Below are 25,111 nucleotides of genomic sequence, written 5' to 3' on the forward strand. Positions count from 1 at the left end.
AAAGGAATAAAACAACAAAAACAAACAAAAAACTCCTAAAAAACTAATAAGTGAATTTAGCAAGGTTGCAGGATATATCAACATATCAAAATTAATTGTATTTCTATATACTAGCAAGGAACACGTGGGCACTGAAATTAAAATATAATACTATTTATAATTGCTCCACAAAAATACTTTGGTGTGAATCTGCCAATACAGGTGCGGAACTTACATGATGAAAACTAGACAATGCTGATGAAAGAAATCAAACAAGATCTAAATAAATGGAAAGGCATAGCATGTTCATGGACTAGAAGACTCAATTGTAAGGACACCCGTTTTCCCCAAATGGTACACAGTTTTAACACAATTACTATCAAAATCCAAGCAACTTTGTTGTTGTTGTTGTAGATGCAGACAAACTTATACTAAAATTTGTTTGGAAACATACAAGCCCTAGAATAGCTAAAAAGTTTTGAAACAGTTCTGAGGTGGGAATTAAAGAAAGAAAGAAAAATAAAATTAAAAAGAGAAAAATATGTTCAAAAAAACAAGCTTTCTGTATTAGGCTGGCTCATCCCAAAGTCAGTAACAGGCAAAGCCCAGACCCAGGCAAAGTCTCGATAACATTATCTAAGAAGCCAGGGCTCAAAGGAATGTGCTCTGGAGACTCTCCCAGCACTCCCTCCACATAAGGAGAAGAAAAACAAATTTTCCTTATTTTCCTTTCCCCTATGGTATGAGTACATTTATGACTTTATAGATTCCCGTTTTCTTTTCTTTTGTTTTCTTTTTCTTTTTTTTTGAGATGAAGTCTCGCTCTGTCACCCAGGCTGGAGTGCAGTGGTGCAATCTCAGCTCACTGCAAGCTCCGCCTCCTGAGTTCACGCCATTCTCCTGCCTCAGCCTCCTGACTAGCTGGGACTATAGGCGCCCGCCACCATGCCTGGCTAATTTTTTGTATTTTTAGTAGAGACGGGGTTTCACCTTGTTAGCCAGGATGGTCTCGATCTCGTGACCTTGTGATCCACCTGCCTCAGCCTCCCAAGGTGCTGGGATTACAGGCGTGAGCCACTGCGCCTGGCCAGATTCCTGTTTTCTGTAACTAGTAACCTCAAGTATTCTGTTTTTTATCCGAGCAGCACAGCAAAGGTCATGAGACATGCCTGAGCAGGCATAATCTAACTGTCATAGTTTGATTAACTGCCTTTGTTCTGCTTCTATACACTTGCTTTCACACCACTACACTTCGCATCACTGTAACCTTGTTTCAAACTAGCCAACCCCTTTTCAGAAGTGTGTATAAAAGTCAAGTTCTGTCTTTGTTCTAGGCCCGGTCTTTGGATGTTAATCCACTAGGCCAGAGTGCACTCAATAACATCCCCCTGTTCTACCTATTGGTCTCTCCAGTCTCCTGATTCCCACAACAGTTCCACTGGATCTTTCACTGTCTTTGTAGTTTTACCTTTTATAGAATGTCACTTAGGTGGGGCGTGGTGGCTCATGCCTGTAATTACAGCATTTTGGGAGGCTGAGGCGGGTGGATCATTTGAGGTCAGGAGTTCGAGACCATCCTGGCCAACACGGTGAAACCCCGTCTCTACTAAAAATACAAAAATTAGCCAGGTGTGGTGGTATGCATCTGTAATCCCAGCTATTCAGGAGGCTGAGGCAGGAGAATTGCTTGAGCCTGGGAGGTGGAGGTTGCGATAAGCAGAGATCATGCCACTGCACTCCAGTCTGGGTGACAGAGTGAGACCCTGTCTCAAAAAAAAAAAACAAAAAACAACAAATTGTCACTTAGTTGGAATCATACAGTATGTAGCCTTTTCAAATTGGCTTCTTTCACTTAGCAATATCCATCTAAGGTCTTCCATGTCTTTTCATGGCTTGGTAGCTCATTTCTTTTCTTTTCTTTTTTATTTTTCTTTGAGATGGAGTCTCGGTCTGTCGCCCAGGCTGGAGTGTAGTGGCACGATCTCAGCTCACTGCAACCTCAACCTCCTGGGTTCAGGCAATTCTCTTACCTCAGCCTCGCAAGTAGCTGGGATTACAGGCACGCACCACCACACCCAGCTGATTTTTGTATTTTTAGTAGAGAAGGGGTTTCACCATGTTGGCCAGGCTGGTCTTGAATTCCTGACCTCAGGTGATCTGCCTGTCTTGACCTCCCACAGTGCTGGGATTACAGGCATGAGCCACCGTGCCCGGCCTGAGCCACTGCCCCCAGCCGGCTCATTTCTTATCATTGAATAATATTCCAATGTATGAATGTGTCAGTTTGTTCATTCACCAATTGAGGGGATATCTTGATTTCTTCCAGTTTTTGCAGTTTTGAATAAAGCTGCTATAAACATTCATGTGTAGGTTTTTATGTGTATATAAGTTTTCAACTAATTTTGGTATATACCTAGGAGTGAAATTGCTGGGCCATATGGTTAGGCTATGTTTAGCTTGGAAGGCACTACTAGATCATCTTCCAAAGTGGCTGTATTCTCAAGAGCAATGAATGAGAATTCCTGTTTTTCTATGTCCACATCCTTGTCAGCATTTGATACTGTCAGGTTTTTGGATTTTAGCCTATCTAATAGGTGTATAGTGGTTTCTCATTGTTGTTTTTGTTATTTATTTATTTATGTATTTATTTTAGAGATGGGTTCTTACTCTCTTGCCCAGGCTGGAGTACAGTGGTATGATCATGGCTCACTGCAGCCTCAAACTGCTGGGTTCAAGAGGTCCTCCTGTTTCTGCCTCCTAAGTAGCTGGACTACAGGCATATGCCACCATGCCCAGCTAATTCTCATTGTGTTCTGAATTTGTAATTCCCTAATGACATATGATGTAGAGCGTCTTTTCATATGGTTATAGCCATATGTATATCTTCTTTGGTGAGCTCCGTTCAGATATTTTGTCCATTTTTAAACTGGAATGCTTATTTTCTTATTTTTGCATTTTGGGAGTTATTCGTATATATTGGATACAAATCCTTTATCAGAAAAGTTATTTGCAAATATTTTCTCCAAGTCTGTGGGTTTTCATTCTCTTAGCAATGATGTTCTCAGAGCAGCAGTTAAAAATTTCTGTCTAGATTCTTTTTTTTATGTTTGCATGTGTAAAATGCAAAACTTCCTGAGTAGAAGGGACTACAGGTGCATTTATTAGAGCAGTATTTATTGAAAAGACTAATATTTTTCTATTGAATTGCCTTTGTTCCTTCATCAAAGATCAGTTGATTTCATTTGTTTGGGTTTATTTATGGGTTCTCTACTCCGTTCCTTTACCAATGTCACACTGTCTTGATTACTGTAGCTTCATAGTAAGTCTCAAAGTTGAGTAGTGTGAGTACTCTGGCCCTGCTTGTCTTCAATATTGAGTGGGCTATTCTGCATCTTTTGACTTTCCATACAAACTTTAGAATTTGCTTGTCAATATCTGCAAAATAACTTGCTGGAATCGTTATTGGAATTAAATTGAATCTATAATTGGTAAGCGCTAACACATTAATGTTGAGTCTTCCTACCCATGAACATGGAACTTATCTCCATTTATTAATTTAGATTTTTTATTTATTTCATCAGAGTTTTGTAGTTTCCCTCATATAAAGCTTGTATGTATTTTGTTAGATTTATACCTAAGTATTTTGATTATTTGGTGTTTATGTAAGAGGTATTAAATTTTCAATTTCAAATTCCAATTGTTCAGTGTTGGTTAAAGAAAAGCAATCAACTTTTGTATGTTAACCTTATATCCTGCAATGTAACTATAATAACTTACTAGTTCTCAGAGTTTTTTGTTGATTCTTTGGGATTTTGTACATAGATAGTCATGTTATCTGCAATTTTTTATACTTTATTTCCTTCTTCCTAATTTTTATACTTTTATTTCCTTCTTTTGTCTTATTGTATTAGCTAAGACTTCTAGTACAATATTGAATAGGAGTGGTGACAAGAGACATCCTTGCCTTTTCCCTGATATTAGGGGAAAAGCATATAATTTTTCACCATTAAGTAGTGTATGATGTTAGCCATACATACATACATAGTGGAATTATTGTAGATGTTCTTCATCAATTGAGAAAGTTCCCTTCTATTCCTAGTTTGCTGAGAGTTTTTATCATGAATAGGTGTTAGATTTGTCAAATGCTTCTTCTAAATGTATTGATATAATCATGATTTTCTTTTTTAACTTAATTGATGTGATTGATTACAATAACTTATATTCAACCATTAAACAAGTATGCATATCTGGAATACATCCCATTTGGTCATGTTGTATTTTTTTCATACAATGTTGGATTTGATTTGCTAATATTTTTATCATGGATAAAAGGGGCATTACTATCGGGTAAAATTCAGCCCCCGATATTTCACCTGGGTCCTTTTCTATTTTCCCTAAGTGTTGGCTGGTCTGAGAAATAAAGGGAAAGAGTACAAAAGAGAAATTTTAAAGCTGGGTGTCTGGGGGAGACATCACATGTCGGCAGGTTCTGTGATGCCCCCCAAGCCGCAAAACCAGCAAGTTTTTATTAGTGATTTTCAAAGGGGAGGGAGTGTATGAATAGGGTGTGGGTCACAGAGATCACGTGCTTCACAAGGTAATAAAATATCACAAGGCAAATGGAGGCAGGGTGAGATCACAGGACCAATGCGAAATTAAAATTGCTAATGAAGTTTTGGGCATGCATTGTCATTGATAACATTTATCAGGAGACAGGGTTTGAGAAAAGACAACTGGTCTGACCAAAATTTATTAGGCGGGAATTTCCTCATCCTAATAAGCCTGGGAGCGCTACGGGAGACCGGGGCTTATTTCATCCCTTATCTATGCCCATAAAAGACAGACGTCCCCAAAGCGGCCATTTCAGAGGCCTCCCCTTAGGGATACATTCTCTTTCTCAGGGATGCTCCTTGCTGGGAAAAAGAATTCAGTGATATTTCTCCTATTTGCTTTTGAAAGAAGAGAAATATGGCTCAGTTCCACCCGGCCCACAGGCAGCCAGACTTTAAGCTTATCTCCCTTGTTCCCTGAACATTGCTGTTATCCTGTTCTTTTTTCAAGGTGCCCAGATTTCACATTGTTTAAACAATTTGTGCAGAAAACGCAATCATCACAGGGTCCTGAGGCGACATTCATCCTCAGCTTACAAAGATGATGGGATTAAGAGATTAAAGTAAAGACAGGCATAGGAAATCACAAGGGTATTGACTGGGGAAGTGATAAGTGTCCATGAAATCTTCATAATTTATGTTCAGAGACTGCAGTAAAGACAGGTGTAAGAAATTACAAAAGTATTAATTTGGGGAACCAATAAATGTCCATGAAATCTTCACAATTTATGTTCTTCTGCCATGGCTTTAGCCGGTCCCTCCGTTCAGGGTCCCTGACTTCCCGCAACACATTACATCACAGTGGAAAGTGAGATAGTAAAGGAATATTATGAAGTACTCTATGCTCAAAGGGGGCATGATCCCTATGACAAAGGGATCCATTCTTCGAGAAGACATAACAGGCTGGGCATGGTGGCTCATACCTGTAATCCCAACATTTGGGGAGGCCAAGGCAGGAGGATCATTTCAGCTCAGGGGTTCGAGACCAGCCTAGGCAGTGTAGTGAGATCCCATCTACAAAAAAAAATTTAAATTGGCCTGGCATGGTTGTGCCTGCCTGTAGTCCCAGTACTTACGAGGCTGAGCTGGGAGGATCACTTGAGCTTGGAGGGTAAGGCTGCAGTGAGCTGTGGTCACACCACTGCACTCCAGCCTGGGTGACAGAGTAAGACTGTCTCAAAAAAAGGGGAAAAGACATGAAAATTACTATATTTCACTGAAGATTTATGAATTGCAAATAAGCACATGAAAAGATGTTGAACATCATTAGGTATTACGGAAATGCAAACTAAAGTTACACCTGTCAACATGGCTAAAATTAATAGTGACAACAAATGCTGGTGAGCATGTGGAAAAACTTGATCACTCATCCATTGTTGGAATGTAAAATGGTACAGCTTTGTGGAAAATACTTTGTCATCTTGAAAAAAACTGCACTTGCAGCTACCATAAGACCCAGTAGTTGCCCTCTTGGGAATTGCTTCCACAAAATCAAATGCTTATGTTCACACAAAAAATTTAATATCAGGGCTTAACTGTAATCACCAAAAATTGAAACTAGCCCTGATGTCCTGAGCAGATGAATGGTTAAATCAACAGTGCAGCAAAACCATGAAATACTCATTAGCAATAAATAAAAACTAATGAAGTAATAATATACACAACAACTTAAATTAACTCCAGATAATTATTCTGAGTGAAAAAAAAATCCAGTAGGTTAGGTAAGCATGACATTGACATAACATTGTTGAAATCAGGAAATTACAGAAATGGAAAACAGATTGGTGGTTAGCATGGGTTAAGAAAGTGGAATGGTGAAAGGGAAGTGGTGTGGCCATACGTGAGCAACACAACCCCACTTAGGTAGAATACACATCTTCTCAAGTAGACAAGGAACATTCTCCAGGGTACAGCATATGCTAGGTTGTAAATCAAACCTTAGTAAATGTAAAGGATAGAAATAATACAAAGTATTTTTAAAAACACAACGGAATACTATTAGATCAATAACAGAAAGAAAGTCGAGAAGTTGGGAAACCCACAAAGGTGTGGAAATTTAACAGCACACTCTAAATGACCAATGGGTCAAAGAAGAAATCAAGAGGGAAATTAGAAAATACTTTGTGGGCCGGGTGCAGTGGCTCACGTCTGTAATCCCAGCACTTTGGGAGGCCGAGGCGGGTGGATCACGAGGTCAGGAGATCGAGACCATCCTGGCTAACACGGTGAAACTCCATCTCTACTAAAAATACAAAAAATTAGCCGGGCATGGTGGCGGGCACCTGTAGTACCAGCTACTCAGGAGGCTGAGGCAGGAGAATGGCGTGAACCCAGGAGGCAGAGCTTGCAGTGAGCCAAGATTGCACCACTGCACTCCAGCCTGGGTGACAGAGTGAGACTCCATCTCAAAAGAAATTTTATAAAAAAACTTTTTAATTAAAAATTAAAGAAATACTATTATATATAGAGAATGAGGGTTTAAAAAAAAAAGAAGAAATACTATAAACAATTGTAGCTTAGATGAAATGAACAAGGCCGGGTGTGGTGGCTCACGCCTATAATCCTAGCACTTTGGGAGGCCGAGGCAGATGGATTACCTGAGGTCAGGAGTTCGAGACCAGCCTGGCCAACATGATGAAACTCCGTGTCTACTAAAAAAAAAAAACAAAAAATTAGCCAGTCGTGGTGGCAGGCGCCTGTAATCCTAGCTACTTGAGAGGCTGAGGCAGGAGAATCACTTGAACCTGGGAGGCAGAGGTTGTAGTGAGCCAAGATCACACCACTGTACTCCAGCCTAGGCAAGAAGAATGAAACTCTGTTTAAAAAGAAAGAAAGAAAGAAAGACAGACAGACAGACGGAAAGAAATGAATGAACAAATTTCTAGACAGACACAAGCTTCCATAACTGACTCAGAAGAAACAGACAATCCAAATATGCCTATAATAACAAATAATGAGATTGCTTTAGTAATAAAAAAAAACTACCCAAAAAAACTGCGGGCCCAAATGGCTTTACTATTGAATTCCACCAAATATTTTTTTTAAATACCAATTCTTCACAAACTCCTCAAAGAAAAATAGAAAAGGAGGGAATACTTCCCAACTCATTCACGGATTCTATAAGGCAACATCACCCTGACACCAAAACCAAAGACCTAACAAGAAAAGAACTCTTTAGACAATATATTTTATAAATGTGGACCCACGAAAACCCTGAAAAATACAATGACATGTAAAAGTATTGTATACCATAGCCAAGTGGGATTTATCTCAGGAAGGAACAGATGGTTCAGCATAAAAAGTCAATTAGGCTGGGTGCAGTGGTCACACCTGTAACCCCAGCCCTTTGGGAGGCTGTGGCAGGAGGATCACTTGAGCCCAGGAGTTCGAGACCAGCCTGGGCAACATGGTGAGACCTCACCTCTACAAAAAAAATCACATTAGCTTGGCGTGGTGGCACAAGCCTGTAGTCTCTGCTGCTTGAGAGGCTGAGCAGGAGGATCATTTGAGCCCAGGAGGTCGAGGCGGCAACTGAGCCATGGTTGCACCATTGCACTCCAGCCCAGGTGACAGAGCAAGACCCTGTCTTTAAAAAAAAAAATCAGCCAGCCACGGTGGCTCATGCCTGTATTCCCAACACTTTGGGAGGCTGAGGCGGGTGGATCACCTGAGGTCAGGAGTTTGAGACCAGCCTGGTCAACATGGTGAAACCCCGTCTCTACTAAAATAAATACAAAATTCAGCCGGGCATGGTGGTGAGTACCTGTAGTTCCAGCTACTTGGGAGGCTGAGACAGGAGAATTGCTTGAACCCAGGAGGCAGAGGATGCAGTGAGCTGAGATAGCATCACTGTACTCCAGCCTGAGTGACAGAGCAAGACAACATCTCAAAAAAAAAATCAATTAAGTAGAATTAGAAGGGAACTTCTTCAACCTAATAAAGGACATCTGTGAAAAGCACACAATTAAATATAATACTTAATGGTGAAAGACTGGATGCTTTCCTCCTGAAATCAGTATTAAGACAAGGATGCCCACTCTTGGCACTTCTATTCAACATTGTACTAAAGGGTTTGGCCACAGCAATTAGGCAAGAAAAAAAAAAGGCATCCAGGTAGGAAAAGAAGTAATACTATCTCTATTCACAGATGACATGATCTTATGTAAAGAAAATTCTAAAGAGTCCAAAAAAAACTATTAGAACTAATAAATGAGTTCAGCAAGATTGCAGGATATAAGATCAATATACAAAAATCAATGTATTTTTATACACTTGTAATGAAATGGAAGTGAAATTTTAAAAACACTTCCTTAGCCAGGTGTGATATGTGGACTTGGTAGTCCCAGCTACTTGGGAGGCTGAGGTAGGAGGATTGCTGGAGCTCAGGAGTTCTAGACGAGCCTGGACAACATAGCAAGATTCCATCTTTTGAAAAAACCAAACAGCTCCACTTACAATAGCATCAAAAAGAATAAAATACTTGGGAATGAATTTTACAAAAGAACTATAAAACTTATATTCTGGAAACTTCAAAACATTGTTGGAAGAAATGAAAGAAAACCTAACTAAATGGATAGATGTTTATGTTCATTGATTGGAAGACCTGATACTGTTAAGATAGCAATCTCCTCAGATTAATCTATAGATCATCACAACCCCTAGAACTGCAGCTGATTTCTTTCTAGAAATTGACAAATTGACCCTAAAATTTATAAGGAGACTCAGGGGCCCCAGAATAGCAAAAACAACCTTGAAAAGAACAATTACATTGGAGGACTCACACTTCCTTATTTCAAAACTTTCTATAAAGCAACAGTAATCAAGACAGTGTAGCATAGACATATTTCAACACAATACAACTGAGAGTCCAGAAACGACCCAAGTGTCTCTGGTCTCCTGATTTTCAACAAGGGTGCCAAGACCATTCAATGGGGTAAAAATAGTCTTTCAACAAATGATGCTGGGACATCTGGATGGACACACGCAAAATAATGACATTGAACTCTTCACATAATATACAAAACTTTACTCAAAATGGATCAGAGTATTCAATGTAAAAGCTAACATTATGAAACTCTTAATAGAAACATAAGGGTGAATGTGTATGAACTTGGATGTGGTAGTGGTTTCTTAAATATGAGATCAACAGTGTGAGCAACAAAAGAAAACATTTGAGATAGGGCCTTAGTCTGTCACCCAGGATGGAGTACAGTGGTGCCATCACAGTTCACTGCAGACTCAACTTCCGGGGCTCAAGTGATCCCCCCAGCTTAGCCTCCCTAGTAGCTGAAACCACAGGTGTGTACCACGATTCTGGCTAATTCTTTTATTTTTTGTAGAGATGGGGTCCCACTATGTTGTCCAGGCTGGTCTCAAACTCCTGGGCTCAAGTGATCCACCTGCCACAGCCTCCCAAAGTGTTGGGATTACAGGCACGAGCCATGGCACCCAGCTGATAAGGAATATTTTTTATGCAGAATAGATAAAAACTCTCACAAACTCAATGATAAAGACAATCCAATTGAAAAGTTGGCAAAGGATCTGAAAAATAAGACACACAAGTGACTAATATGCACATGAGAGGTTGAGCAACATATCAGTCACTAGGGAAATACAAATCAAAACCACTCTGAGATATCATGTTATACCCACTAGGATGCCTTTACTTAAAACAACCTGATAGGCTGAATGTGGTGGCTCACACCTGTAATCCCAGCACTTTGGTTGGCCAAAGCAGGAGGACTGCTTGAGCCCAGGAGTTCAAGATCAGCCTGGGCAACAGCGAGACCCCCGTCTCCATAAAAAAGTATAAATATACATACATACATACTTGGTAATAGGAAATGTTGGCAAAGATGTGGAAAAATTGGAAATCTCATACACTGCTGATATGAATATAAAATGGAGCAGCCACACTGGAAGGCAGAATGGTAGTTTGTTAAACAGTTAGTTATAGAGTGATCATACGGCTCAGCAATTCCACTCCTAGGTCTATATATTATATATCCGAGAGAAATGAAAACACATTTCCACATAAAAACTTGTACGCTGATGTTTATAGTACCATTATGCATAATTGCCAAAAGGTGGAAACAATCCAAATGTCCATCAACAGATGAACAGGTAAGCAAAATGATGCATACAATGGAATATTATTTGGTCATAAAAAGAAGTGGAATAGTGATACATGCTACAACATGGATGAAACTTGAAAATATTATGCTAAGTGAAAGCAGCCAGACAAGAGCAATATTCTGTGATTCAATTTATATGAAATGTTCTGAATAAGCAAATCTATAGAGACGGAAAGCAGGTTGATGGTTGCCTCAGAATGATGGGGATCGGGGATAGGGCATGATAAAGTGTATGGGGTTTCTTACTGAGGTGATGAAAAGATTCTAATAATGGCTGTGGTTAAAGTGTATGGGGTTTCTTACTGAGGTGATGAAAAGATTCTAATAATGGCTGTGGTGATGGCTGCACATATGATGTGACTACACTGAAAATCATTAGATTGTAAATCGCATGCTGTTAACTATTTCAGTAAAGCCGTTTTTTTTTTTTTAAGCAAAACATGAGCCATCCTTTTCTTTTTTTTTGAGAGTCTCGCTCTGTTGCCCAGGCTGGAGTGCAATGGCATGGTCTCGGCGCACTGCAACCTCTGCCTCCTGGGTTCAAGTGATTCTCCTGCCTCAGCCTCCCAAGTAGCTGGGATTGCAGGTGCGTGCCGCCATGCCTGGCTAATTTTTTGTATTTTTAGTACAGACAGGGTTTCACCATTTTGGCCAGGCTGGTCTCGAACTCCTGACTTCAAGTAATCCGCCGGTCTTGGCCTCCCAAAGTGCTGGGATTGCAGGCGTGAGCCACTGTGCCTGGCCATAATCTTTTCTTTTTTGAGATGGAATCTTGCTCTGTCACCCAGGCTGGAGTCCAGTGGCACAATCTCAGCTCACTGCAACCTCTGCTTCCCAGGTTCAAGCGATTCTCCTGCCTCAGCCACCTGAGTAGCTAAGACTACAGGCACCTGCCATCACACCTGGCTAATTTTTTTTTTTTTTTTTTTTTTTTTGTAGTTTTAGTAGAGGCAGGGTTTCACCATGTTGGCCAGGCTGGTCTCGAACTCCTGGCCTCAAGTGATCCACCTGCCTTGGCCTCCTAAAAGTGCTGGGATTACAGGCGTGAGCCATTGCACCTGTCCTGAGCCATCCTCCTGAGGAAAACGTACTCCATCTTGAGAAAAACCAACAGACGTAGGAATAGAGTACCTAGGTTATAGAGCAAGTATATGTTTAATTCTATGAGGAACGATCACACTGTTTATCAAAGTAACTATTCTTCCTACCAGCAATGCATGAGAGTTCCAGTTGCTCCACATCCTCACTAATACACATTATTGTCTTTTTAAAAAATGTAAGCCATTCTAATAGATATGTGTTGTTACTGTTATTTCTTTTGCTGTACAGAAGCTTTTTAGTTTGTCTAATTTGTCTACTTTTTTGTTGTATTTGCTTTTGAGTCCTTAGTCATAAATTCTTTCTTTCTTTCTTTTTATTTTTTTATTTTTTTTGAGACAGAGTCTCACTCTTTCGCCCAGGCCGGAGTGCAGTGGCGCTATCTTGGCTCACTTCAAGCTCCGCCTCCCTGGTTCACGCCACTCTCCTGCCTCAGCCTCCCGAGTAGCTGGGACTACAGGCACCCACCACTGCGCCAGGCTAATTTTTTGTATTTTTAGTAGGGACGGGGTTTCACCGTGTTAGCCAGGATGGTCTAGATCTCCTGACCTCATGATCCGCCCGCCTCAGCCTCCCAAAGTGCTGGGATTACAGGCGTGAGCCACCGCGCCCAGCTTTTTAAATTTTTTTTGAGACAGTCTCGCACTGTCACCCAGGCTGAAGTGCAGTGACGCGATCTCAGCTCACTGCAACCTGTCTCCTGGGTTCAAGCGATTCTCATGCCTCAGCCTCCTGAGTAGCTGGAATTACAGGTGTGTACCACCATGACTGGCTAATTTTTTGTTTTTGAGGCGGAGTTTCACTCTTGTTGCCCAGGCTGGAATGCAGTGGTGCAATCTTGGCTCACTGCAACCTCTGCCTCCCAGGTTCAAGTGATTCTCCTGCCTCAGCCTCCCAAGTATCTGGGATGACAGCCATGTGCCACCATGCCTGGCTAATTTTGTATTTTAGTAGAGAGGAGGTTTTACTATGTTGGTCAGGAAACAGTGTGATCATTTTGGGTCTTGCTTTTATTTTTTGGTAGGTGGATCTGAAGCAGTGCTGCCTTAGTCTCCTTGGACTCTCAGCTCCATTTCCTCAGCTCAAGTAGTCCACTGGGCTCTACCTCAGTTCTGCCTCCTCTTGCTGTGGCCTAGAAATTCTCTCTGGATATCAGAAAACAAAGGACAGTAATCCCTGCCAAGATGGGATACAAACAAGGTGAGCCCCATGATTGCCCAAGCGTACTACCTGGAGTGTCTTCTTCTGTTTTTTTCTTTTTCTTTTTTTTCTTCAAGATGGGATCTTCCTGTGTTGCCCAGGCTGGAGTGCAGTGCCATGATCATGGCTAATTGCAGCCTTGAACTCCTGGCCTCAAATGGTCCTCCCACCTCAGCCTCCCATGTAGCTAGGTCTCCAAGCGCATGCTACTGTGCCCAGCATGGTATCCAGTGTCTTGAAACCACCATTGCATGTATTTTTGACGGGCTCCTTTGGTTGTTTCAGGTAGAAGGGTCAACCTGGTCCCTGTTACTCCATCTTGTCTGTAAGTTGAAGGCCTTGATGTTTTCTGCTTATCTCTTCATCATCTCCAAACGGTGGTGGTAAAGTCACTCACGACTGCTGTTTCCTTCAAGGGAGGAAACGTGCGAAGACTTTGCCCACACAATCTCAATTTGTCCTCATAACGTTGCAGATTTTTTTTTTTTTTTTTTTTTTTGAGACGGAGTCTTGCTCTGTTGCCGAGGCTGGAGTGCAGTGGCGCGATCTTGGCTCACTGCAACCTCTGCCTCCCGGGTTCAAGCAATTCTCCTGCCTCAGCCTCCCGAGTAGCTGGGATTACAGGTGTGTGCCACCACACCCAGCTAATTTTTGTATTTTTAGTAGAGACGGGGGTTTCATCATGTTGGTCAGGCTGGCTCGAACTCCTGACCTCGTGATCTGCCCACCTTGGCCTCCCAGAGTGCTGGGATTATAGGTGTGAGCCACTGTGCCCGACCCCAGTGCAGATTTTTTTAGTCTCAATCTCTATTTGACAGCTAAAAAACTGAGGCCCAGATGTTTGCTGGTTTGGAGCCCAGACAGGCCTGTTGGCATATATTGCTTCCTGGAGCTCCACAAAGCTCGCAATGTCTTGCTGCATAGTTGCTAAGGGAGCTGCCTCACCTGCACAGCAAGTCTCTGGCTCTTCATTCCTTAAGAGTCCCACTTGCAGCCTGGCTTTTTATGTGTACACACACACACACTCACACAAACTATCCTGGCTTTATTTGGCATGAACACATGCCTGGGTCTCATCCAGCCACTTGACATCCGAGTGAGACATGGAGTGGAATGGCTGCTAGGCCAGAGATCAGTGGTCAGTTACCCCGGCCTCTGACTCCAAGTCCAAGGCTCCTTCTCCAGGCTCAGACCCACACACTGGGTGGTGGTGACAAAGATCAGGACCCAGGAGTGGGTGGTACTCAGCCCTCACTGTGCTTAAAGATTCTGTGATTCTGTTTCTTCTCCTGTAGATCAACGTCTGGATCACTTTCTAATAAAATTCCAACTTTGCTGATAATTCTCCAATATACCCAAGACTGTAAATACTGATTTCCTTTCATGAAATTGTCCAAACAGCTGCAGCCCTTGGTGCACAGTATGATCTGGACCTGGGGCACAGCAAGACCAGAACCATGAACCACCATGAACCATGACTCCTCACTTGTGAGATGACGTGTGCAAGGTGACCTATGGTGCTTCATGACCACAGAAGTGACCACTCTACACTGTGAAATGAATTTCTGCATGGGGGGTATATTAGGGTTCTCTACAGGGACAGAACTAATAGATATATATGAAAGTTTATTAAGTATTAACTTACACAATCACAAGGTCCCACAATAGGCCATCTGCAAGCTGAGGAGCAAGGAGAGCCAGTTCGAGTCCCAAAATTGAAGAACTTGGGAGTCCGATGTTTGAGGGCAGGAAGCATCCAGCACGGGAGAAAGATGTAGGCTGGGAGGCTAAGCAAGTCTCATCTCTTCACATTTTTCTGCCTGCTTTATATTCGTTGGCAGCTGATTAGATGGTGCCCACCTGATTAAGAGTGGGTCTGCCTTCCCCAGCCTGACTCAAATGTTAATCTCCTTTGGCAACACCCTCACAGACACATCCAGGATCAATATTGCATCCTTCAATCCAATCAAGTTGACACGCAGTATTAACCATGACAGGGGGGAATGAGATGACACAAAGGATCCCTTCTGGCTCTCATGTTCTGTCACCATCTACTTCAGGAGAGAGATGCACTGTGTGGGGAGGATGAAAGTTAGAAGGAAAAGGCAAGAGAAATCAGGAGGGTTTGGTATTCAATGCGTGTTCATTTATTTTACACTTACAAAAGAAATCGCCCACCCCTTTGCCCCATTCCCCCAAAACAGTCTCTTTTTACAAACATTTAAAAATTAAAACCAAATGAAGATAGACAAGTTAATTTCAGTACAATTATTTTTCAGTGTAGCTGTCATAATTAGAGTTTAAATTTCCTACAAGTGACCAATGTCCAAGTGACTTATAGGGAAATCCTGATTATCGGCCAAAGGAAATTCAATATTACAAGTTAGCAAATTCTAGTACAAAAATAGTCCGTGTGTTGGAACAGCTTTCCTTTTACATAGGTCTTAGGTCAGTCTGCTGTAATACCTAACGCTTCCGGATTCTCTCTCACAAATGGCTCAATCGTCACTGCTGAAGCAGCATGGTGCCTGCAGCAGCAGGGGCTAGTGTCCACCTTGGGGCCGTGCTGGAGACGGCAGGCCTGGGACTGCCTTGCTGGCCCCAGGGCACCTGGGCAGAGCTCCAGCCCTAGCTCCGCATCGGGGGCTTGGAGGGAGGGATGAGCTTCCCCCTCCTGAGGCAATGTCAGACCCAGGACACAGGGCACATCTGCCCAGGGAGCTGGGCTGGCGCTGGTGCAGGACAGCACATCTCCTGCCAGTGTCTCCTCCCCCTACAGCCTGGTCAGGTGAGAGGCGGTCCTGCATGTCATCAGCGGCGAGAGTGTGGCCCTGCCCTTGCTGCAGCCAGGGCAGGCTGGGGCAGGCTACTTGTCCCTCAGGATGTCGAGCTGTTCCTGACACTCGGTGAAGAGGCGCTGGAATCGGAGGTTCTGCCCGATGACTGGTAGCAGCTCCTTCAGCAGCTCCCTCTTCCGCAGACCCTGTGGACACAGAGTGACAGCTGAGTGCAAGTGTCAGTGAAGAGACCTAGATTGTGGGGACTTTCCTGGCCTGGCAGAGAACCTTGTGTCTGCTCACGGGAGAAGGAAAGAACAATTCCTCTGCAGGTGAGAAACTGTGAGAGAGCTGTGGGGCAAATGTGCAGGATGAAGTGGCAGGTGGAATGGGAGCAACACAGTGTGGGGATAAAGGAGGATGAGGCCAATGCAGGGTCTGCTCCTCCATCCGTGGGCACAGCCACTGCTGACCTTATAGTGACTGAGCAGTTCCCTGACCATCCAGGGCAGGATGAGAGTAGAACAAGGCTGAGGGTCAGGTGGCTGGCCATTCAGGAGGGGCTGTTCCCTCATGCTGATGTTTGCCAGGGGTTTGAGGTCAAGCCCCAGGGCAAGGATGCACCTGGGGGGCAGTGACTGGCTTTAGTTTTCCAGCAACACAAATGAGGTGCCAGTATCCCCTGATGTGGAGGATGTTCGGATGCTGACCAAACTATGCTTAGTTGCCTAAACATCCTCCACGTCAGGTCATATTGGCACCACAGTCTGAAACAAGCATTGCCAGTTGGGGTCTCTGCTGCACAGACCAAAAGAGCAGACTCCTGAGCAGTACGGCTGCTCCAAAGGGAAAACTACCAGCCAGACAACTTTAACACTGGACGAGAAGGTCTAAGATCTTGAATTAACGGTGACAGATATACCTGCAACAAGTCTAGAAGTGACAGTAAAGAATAAGTGTAACTATTAGGTTTGAGTAACACAGAAGTTGTTAGAGATGGGATAAGCAGGAGAATGGCTGCTGTTGGCGACCAAGTTTGATGGAGGAGCAGCCCACACTCCAACAGGGAGGCTCTGACACCAGAGTGCCATAGTCAGAACAGAGATGGTATGGATTTGCAAAGGCTGAAATGTTTACTATCTGGTCCTTTACAGAAAAGTTTGTCAACTCCTAAAATAGATCATGTTTTCTAACTAAAATAATTGAGTAAAACTCATAGGTCAAAGGGGAATTCTAATTAAGTGAAATTAAAAATGACTTGCAAGAGAATGGTAAAAAAAAAAAACCAACACAAAATACTCCAAAAGTGGTAAGATTCAGCAAAAGTGGGCACTTTAGAGGCATTTAGAAACAACAGCTTATACTGTATTAGAGAACATGAAAGAATGACAAGCCAAGACTCCAACCTAAAGCCATCAGGGGAAAGGAAAAAAAAAAAGACTAAAGAAAAAAAGGACATGAGAAAAAAACATTTTTTTTAAAAAAAGGAGATAATAAAAATTGAAATAAATAAAATAGAAAACAAAGATTTAATAGAGAAGATTTAGAAAAACAATTTTATTTTATATATTTTTTTGAGACAGGGTCTAGCTCTGTTGCCCAGGCTGGAGCGTAGTGGTGCAATCACAGCTCGCTGCAGCCTCAACCTCCCAGGCTCAAGTGATCCTCCTGCCTCAGTTACCCGAGTAGCTGGGACTATAGGTGTGTGCCACCATGTCTGGCTAATTTTTATATATTTAGTAGAGCGGGGTTTCACCTTGTTGGCCAGGCTGATCTCAAACTCCTGAGCTCAAGTGATCTTCCTGCCTTGTTCTCCCAAAGTGCTGGGATTAAAGGCGTGAGCCACTATGCCTGGCAAAAGTCATTTCTTGAAAAGACTAATGGACAAACGTCTGGCAGGATTAATCAAGAAAGAGAGAGAAAGCTTAAAGAAATAATATTAGAAATAAAAAGAGACATAACTACAGATATAGAAGAAAGAAAAAGATATGATTACTATCAACTTTATGCTAAGAAATTTGAACATTTAGAGAAAATGGAGAAATTCCTAGAAAAATATAATTTATCAAAACTAGCTCAAAAAGAAATAGAAAGGAAAAGTTAATTATTACCATAAAGAAAACATCAGGAATACTATTTTAAAACTGACATCAAGGATGAGATTTTCTTTGTCTTTCCTTTCCCACAGTTTGACTAATGTGTCTCAGTGCAGGTTCCTTTGGGATTTTCCTACTTAGAGTTCACTGAGGCTCTTGTATTAGTAGACCCCCGTCTTTCCTCAAATTTGGAAAATTTCCGCCAGTATTTCTTCAAATAAGCTCTCTACTCCTTTCTCTCTCTTACACTTCTAGAACTCCCATTATGGATTCATGGGTATACTTGGATGGTGTCTGGTAAGTCTCTTAGACTCTGTTTGCTTTTCTTCATTCTATTTTCTTTTTGCTCCTCATACTTGATAATTTCAAATGACCTGTTTTCAAGTTTGCTGATTTACCCTTTTGTCTATTCGAGTCTGCTGTTGAACCCTTCTAGTGAACTTTTCAATTCAGTTATTGTATTTTTAAACTCCAGATTTCTGTTTAGCTCTTTTTTTGGAATTTCTATCTCCTTGTTGATACTCTCATTTTCTTTTTTTTTTTCTTGAGATGGAGCCTCGATCTGTCGCCCAGGCTGGAGTGCAGTGGTGTGATCTCGGCTCACTGCAAGCTCCGCCTCCTGGGTTCACACCATTCTCCTGCCTCAGCCTCCCGAGTAGCTGGGACTACAGGCGCCGGCCAGCACGCCTGGCTAATTTTTTTGTATTTTTAGTAGAGATGGGGTTCCACCATGTTAGCAAGGATGGTCTCGATCTCCTGACCTTGTGATCCGCCCGCCTTGGCCTCCCAAAGTGCTGGGATTACAGGCATGAGCCACTGCACCCGGCCCTCATTTTCTTCATATATAGTTTTCCTGATTTTGTTTAGTTGTCTGTATTCTCCTTGAGCATTTTTTAAGACATTTATTTTAAAGTCTTATGTCTGATGGGCACAGTGGCTCATGCCTGTAATCTCAGCACTTTGGGAGGCCAAGGCGGGCAGATCGCTTGAGGCCAGGAGTTCGAGACCAGTCTGGCCAACATGGCGAAACCCCATCTCCACTAAAAATACAAAAATTAGGCCAGGCGCGGTGGCTCACGCCTATAATCCCAGCACTTTGGGAGGCTGAGGCGGCTGGATCACTTGAGGTCAGGAGTTCGAGACCAGTCTGGCCAACATGGCGAAACCCCATCTCCACTAAAAATACTAAAATTAGCCAGTCCTGACCTCAGGTGATCCACCTGCCTTGGCCTCCCAAAGTGCTGGGATTAAGGCATGAACCAACGCACCCGGCAGTCCTTTTACTTTTAAGCCATTGTGTTATTACATGTAAGCTGGGTTTCTTATAAGCAGCATACAGCTGGTTGTTATTAATTCTAATCTGATAATCTATGCCTTTTAGACCTATATTTAATGATTATTGATATATTAGGGTTTAAATCTACCATCCTATGTATGTTTTTCTGCCTTCTTTTGAATGAATGTATTATTTTCTATCATTCAATTTTATCTATTTGTTAGTTTTTTAGCTACGATTCTTTTTACTGCTTTGGGATTTGTATGTGTATGTGCATGAGTTTTATTTTTTGGTTTTGGTGGTTGCTCTAGGGCATATAACATACAGTATATGCCTTTACTTATCATAGTCTGTCTTCAAGTATTATATCACTTTGCATAATGTGTAAAAATCTTTTAATGGTATACTTTCATATCCCCACTCCTGGCGTCTGTGATACTGCTGTCATGCCACTTCACTTCTACATATGTTATAATTACAAACTACATTTTCATTATTTGGCTTAAAAAGGCAGAACTTTTTGACTTTTTTTTTTTTTGAGACAGGGTCTTGCGCTCTGTTGCCCAGGCTGGAGTGCAGTGGCGTGATCTTGGCTCACTGCAACCTCTGCCTCTCAGGTTCAAGCAATTCTTGTGTCTTCGCCTCCTGAGTAGCTGGGACTACAGGCATGTGCCACCACACCCGGCTAATTTTTGTATTTCTAGTAGAGATGGGGTTTCGCCACGTTGGCCAGGCTGGTCTTGAACTCCTGGCCTCAAGTGATCTGTCCACCTCGGCCTCCCAAAGTGCTGGGATTACAGGCGTGAGCCACCGCGCCGAACGAGAACTTTTTTACATTTTGACATTTAGATGAACACTTTTGACATTTAATTCTTAACCCTTTGGAGGTATATTTTTATGAACTGAAGATCTGCTTTTACTTAGTTACATATAAATAACCAGTTTCCTAAACTCCATTTATTGAATAGCCCCCCCTATTTTTCCCACTGTATCTGTTTTGTCTTCTCTCTCATATAGCAAAGTATCTAAATTACTCCGGCTTCATAATAAACCCAAATATCTGGTAGCATAGTGAATGTCTTAACTATTCTTGGCTTTTTACTGCTCCATATAAATTGTTGAATTAGCTTGTCAAGTTTCATTGAAACCTCTAGTGGGCATTTGATTAGAGAGGCATTGAGTCAGTAGGTCTGTTTAGAAACGGTTGGCGTCTTTTACTGTACTGCACTTTCTCATCGTTTGTCCAGGTTTTCTTTAATGACTTTAAGTAAACGTTTATAATTCTTAGCATATAGGCTATGTACATCCTTTGTTAGATTTATTCTTAGATACTTTATAATTCTCAAAAGAGACAATCTTGAAAGTGGCAAAAAAAAAGTGACTCATGAGAGGGATTTGAAGTTTGTGAAGAACTACACGCACAATTGCTGGCTTAAAGATGGAGGAGGCAGGTGGAAAGCTAACAAGGAAATGAATTCTGCTATTCCAATAACGACTGAGCTTGGAAGAGGACCTTGAACCCTAGGTGATCTCATCTGGCCAGTAATTTGAGTAGAGAATTCAGGAACCACTGCAAAAGCACACCAGGAAGACCGAAAGAAATCACAGATCCTTTGAAAGAAGTGGCAGGCTGCTGCAAATTCCACAAGACAGGTGAAAAACTCTGGTGCTCTCTCAAAAGTGCCATCTCCTGGCTGGAGGCCAATTAACTCAGGACATTACAGCAATTCATAACAGAACAACCCTGCTCCAAGGAAGGAGAAAAACAACAGCTAATTCCACTGCCTGCAACATCCTTTCTAACCAGTGGTCCTGAGTGTGTCCACATGATGACTTCACTGGTAGCATAACCAGCATTTGAGAAAGCCTGCACACTAAACATATCTACAAACAAGGACTCTCACAGAGTCTACGCCATTCCCCTGGCACCACCACCACAGCAGGTGCTGGTATCCACAGCTGGGAGATCTGAAGATGGATCACATCACCGGGTTCTTTGCAGACGTTCCCCAGCATGGGCCCAGAGCCTGGTAGCCCCACTGGGTGGCTAGACCCAGAAGGGCAATAATAATCACCGCAGTCTGGCTCATAGGAATCTCCATCCCTAGGGGAAGGGGAAGTGCACCAAATCAAGGGATCACCCTGTGGGACAAAATAATCTCAACAGCAGCCTCTGAGTTCCAGATTTTTCCACTGAACTAGTCTACCCAAATGAGAAGTAATCAGAAAAGTAATTCTGGCAATAATGACAAAACAAGGTTCTATAATACCTCCAAAAGACCACACTAGCTCCTCAGCAATGGATCCAAACCAAGAATAATTACAAAGTACATTTTCATTATTTGGCTTAAAAAGGCAGAACTTTTTGGCTTTTTCTTTTTCTTTTTTTTTTGAGACAGGGTCTCGCTCTGTTGTCCAGGCTGGAGTGCAGTGGCGTGATCTCTGAATTGCCAAAGAATTCAGAAGGCTGATTATTAAGCTACTCAAGGAGATACCAAAGGTGAAAATCAACTTCAAGAAATTTTAAAAAATATATAGGATATGGATGAAAAATGCTCCAGAGAAATCGGTATCATAAAGAAAAAATCAAAAAATCAAAAATCAAAACTTCTGGAAATAAAAGACACACTTAGAGAAATACAAAATGCACTAGAAAGTTTCAACAATAGAATCAAAGAAGTAGAAGAGAGAACTTCAGAATTCAAAGACAAGACTTTGAATCAGACAAAAACAAAGAAAAAATAATTTTTTAAAAAAATGAACAAAGCCTCCAAGAAATTTGGGATTATGTTAAATGGCCAAACCTAAGAGTAAGAATAAATGGTGTTCCTAAGAAGAGAAATCTAAAAGTCTGAAAAACGTATTTGTGGGGATAGTTGAGGAAAGCTTCCCTGACCTTGCTAGAGATCTAGACATCCAAATACAAGAAGCTCAAAGAACACCTGGGAAATTTATCACAAAAAGATCATCACCCAGGTACACAGTCATCAGGTTATCTAAAGTCAAGACAAAGGAAAGAATCTTAAGAGCTGTAAGGCAAAAGCATCAGGTAACCTATACACGAAAGCCTATCGGATTTTTTTTTTTGAGACAGAGTCTTGCTTTGTCATCCAGGCTGGAGTGCAGTGGTGCAATCTTGGCTCACTGCAATCTCTGCCGCCCTGGTTCACGCAATTCTCCTGCCTCAGCCTCCCAAGTAGCTGGGACTACAGGCCCCTGCCACCAGGCCTGGATAATTTTTGTATTTTTATTAGAGGTGGGGTTTCACCGTGTTGGCCAGGCTGGTCTTGAACTCCTGACCTTAAATGATCCACCCACCTTGGCCTCCCTAAGTGTTGGGATTACACGAATGAGCCACTGCGCCTGGCCAGAATACCTATCAGATTAACAGCAGATTTCTCAGCAGATACCCTACAAGCCAGAAGGGTTTGGGTTCCTATTTTTAGCTTCCTCAAACAAACTAACTGCCAGCCAAGAATTTAGTATCCAGCAAAATTAAGTGTCATATATGAAGGAGGCATAAAGTCTTTTTCAGACAAATGCTGAGAGAATTTGCCACCACCAAGCCAGCACTACAAGAAATGCTAAAAGGAGTTCTAAATCTTGAAACAAAACCTTGAAATACACCAAAATAGAACTTCCTTAAAGCATAAAACTCACAGGGTCTATAAAACAATAACAAAATGAAAAAAAAAAAACCAACAAAAAAAGAAGGTATTCAGGTAAAAACAAGCATGGTAAATAAAACAGTACCTCACATCTCGATACTAACATTGAATGTAAATAGTCTAAATGCTCCACTTAAAAGATACAGAATGGCAGAATGGATACAAATCCACCAACCAAATATCTGCTAACACATATGGACTCACATAAGTTGAGGGTAAAGGGGTGAAAAAAGATATTCCATGCAAATACAAACCAAAAGCGAGCAGAAATAGCTATTCTTATATCAGACAAAACAGACTTTAAAGCAACAATAGTTGAAAAAGACAAAAAGGGACATTACATAATGATAAAAGGATCAGTCCAACAGGAAAATATCACAATCCTAAATATATATGCACCTAGCACGGGAGCTCCCAAATTTATAAAACAATTAGTACTCAACGTAAGAAATGAGATACACAGCAACACAGTAACAGCGGGGACTTCAACACTAGACAGGTCATCAAGACAGAAAAGCAACAAAGAAACAATGGACTTACACTATACCCTAGAACAAATGGACTTAACACATATTTACAGAACATTCTACCCAACAACTGCAGAATATACATTCTTTTCATCAGCACATGGAACATTCTCCAAGAAAGACCATATGATAGGCCACAAAACAACTCTCAATAAACTTAAGAAAATCGAAATTATATCAAGTACCCTCTTAGACCACAGTAAAATAAAATTGGAAATTAACTCCAAAAGGAACCCTCAAAACTATACAAATACATGGAAATTAAAAAATATGCTCCTGAATGATCTTTGGGTAAACAATGAAATCAAGATGGAAATTAAAAAGTTTTATGAACTGAATAATGACACAGCTTATCAAAACCTCTGGGACACAGCAAAAGTGGTGCTAAGAGGAAAGTTGATAGCATTAAATGCTTACATCAAAAAGTATGAAAGAGGCCAAGCACGGTGGCTCGTGTCTGTAATCCCAGCAATTTTGGAGGCCAAGGCAGGAGGATCACTTGAGGTCAGGAGTTCAAGACCAGCCTGGCCAAAATGCCAAAACCCCGTCTCTATCAAAAATAGAAAAAAATTAGCTGGGTGTGGTGACGCATGCCTGTAGTCCCAGCTACTTGGGAGGCTGAGGCCTGAGAATTGCTTGAACCTGGGAGGCAGAGGTTGTAGTGAGCCGAGATGCACCACTGCACTCCAGCCTGGGCGACAGAGCGAGACTCCGTCTCAAAAAAAAAAAAAAAAGATCCAATTAAGCTAAATTAGAAACAAAATGAAAGATATTACAACTGATACCACAGAAATAGAAAAGATCATTCAAGACTACTATGAACACCTTTATGCACACAAACTAGAAAATCTAGAGGAAATGGATAAATTCCTGGAAATATATAACCCTCCTAGATTCATTCAGGAAAAAATAGAAACTTTGAACAGACCAATAATAAGTAGCAAGACTGAAACAGTAATTTAAAAATTGCCAACAAAAAAACAGTCTGGGACCAGATGGATTCACAGCTGAATTCTATTGAACATTCAAAGAAGAATTTGTACCAATCTTACTGAAGCTATTACAAAAGACAGAGAAAGAGGGAATCTCCCTAAATCACTCTATGAAGCCAGTATCACCCTAATACCAAAACCAGGAAAGGACATAACAAAAAATGAAATCTACAGACCAATATCCCTGGTGAACATAGATGCAAAAATCCTCAACAAAATACTACCTAATCGAATCAAATGGTGTATCAAAAAGATAATACACCATGATCAAGTGGGTTTCATACCAGGGATACAGGGAAGACTTAACGTACACATGTCAATAAATGAGATACATCACATAAACAGAATTAAAAACAAAATCATATGATCATCTCAATAGATGCCGAAAAAGCATCTGACAAAATCTAGCATGCCTTCGATTAAAGCCCTCAGGAAAACCGTCATAGAATGGAAATACCTCAAGGTAATAAAAGCCACTATGACAAACTCACAGTTGACTTTATACCGAAAAGGGAAAAGATAAAAGGGTTCCCCCTGAGAACTCTAACAGACAAGGATGCCCACTGTCACCACTGCTATTCAACATTGTACTGGAAGTCCTAGCCAGAGCAAACAGACAAGAGAAAGAAATAAAGGGCATCCAAATATGTAAAGGGGAAGTCAAAATATCGCTGTTTGCCAATGATATGATCGTATACCTAGAAAACCCTAAAGACTCATCCAAAAAGCTCCTAGATCTAATAAATGAATTCCG

The 25,111-nt window shown here is 41.6% G+C and overlaps 1 protein-coding gene and 1 long non-coding RNA gene across 4 annotated transcripts in view; one reads left to right on the top strand and one right to left on the bottom strand.

Moving 5' to 3' along the window:
* The window catches only part of LOC105372859 (uncharacterized), a 59,606-nt gene that overhangs the window by 23,606 nt on the left and 10,889 nt on the right, over positions 1–25,111 (top strand). The window contains exons 2-5 of one of the 3 annotated variants that reach the window (XR_938002.3): positions 12,846–13,021; positions 14,423–14,528; positions 16,002–16,130; positions 18,150–18,191. This is a non-coding gene — a long non-coding RNA (uncharacterized LOC105372859). Of the gene's footprint in view, positions 1–12,845; positions 13,022–14,422; positions 14,529–16,001; positions 16,131–18,149; positions 18,192–18,443; positions 18,481–25,111 lie in introns of those variants that run through there. The other 2 variants (XR_938001.3, XR_938000.3) reach the window with 2 other exon arrangements.
* Positions 15,146–25,111, bottom strand: part of HIRA (histone cell cycle regulator) — a 101,036-nt gene continuing 91,070 nt past the window's right edge. The window contains exon 25 of the mRNA NM_003325.4: positions 15,146–16,004. Within this exon, the coding sequence (NP_003316.3) occupies positions 15,888–16,004 (117 nt within the window). The 3' untranslated portion in view covers positions 15,146–15,887. The remainder of the gene's footprint in view (positions 16,005–25,111) is intronic.

This window comes from Homo sapiens, chromosome 22 (assembly GCF_000001405.40).
Source record: "Homo sapiens chromosome 22, GRCh38.p14 Primary Assembly".
In the NCBI taxonomy this organism is placed as follows: domain Eukaryota; kingdom Metazoa; phylum Chordata; class Mammalia; order Primates; family Hominidae; genus Homo; species Homo sapiens.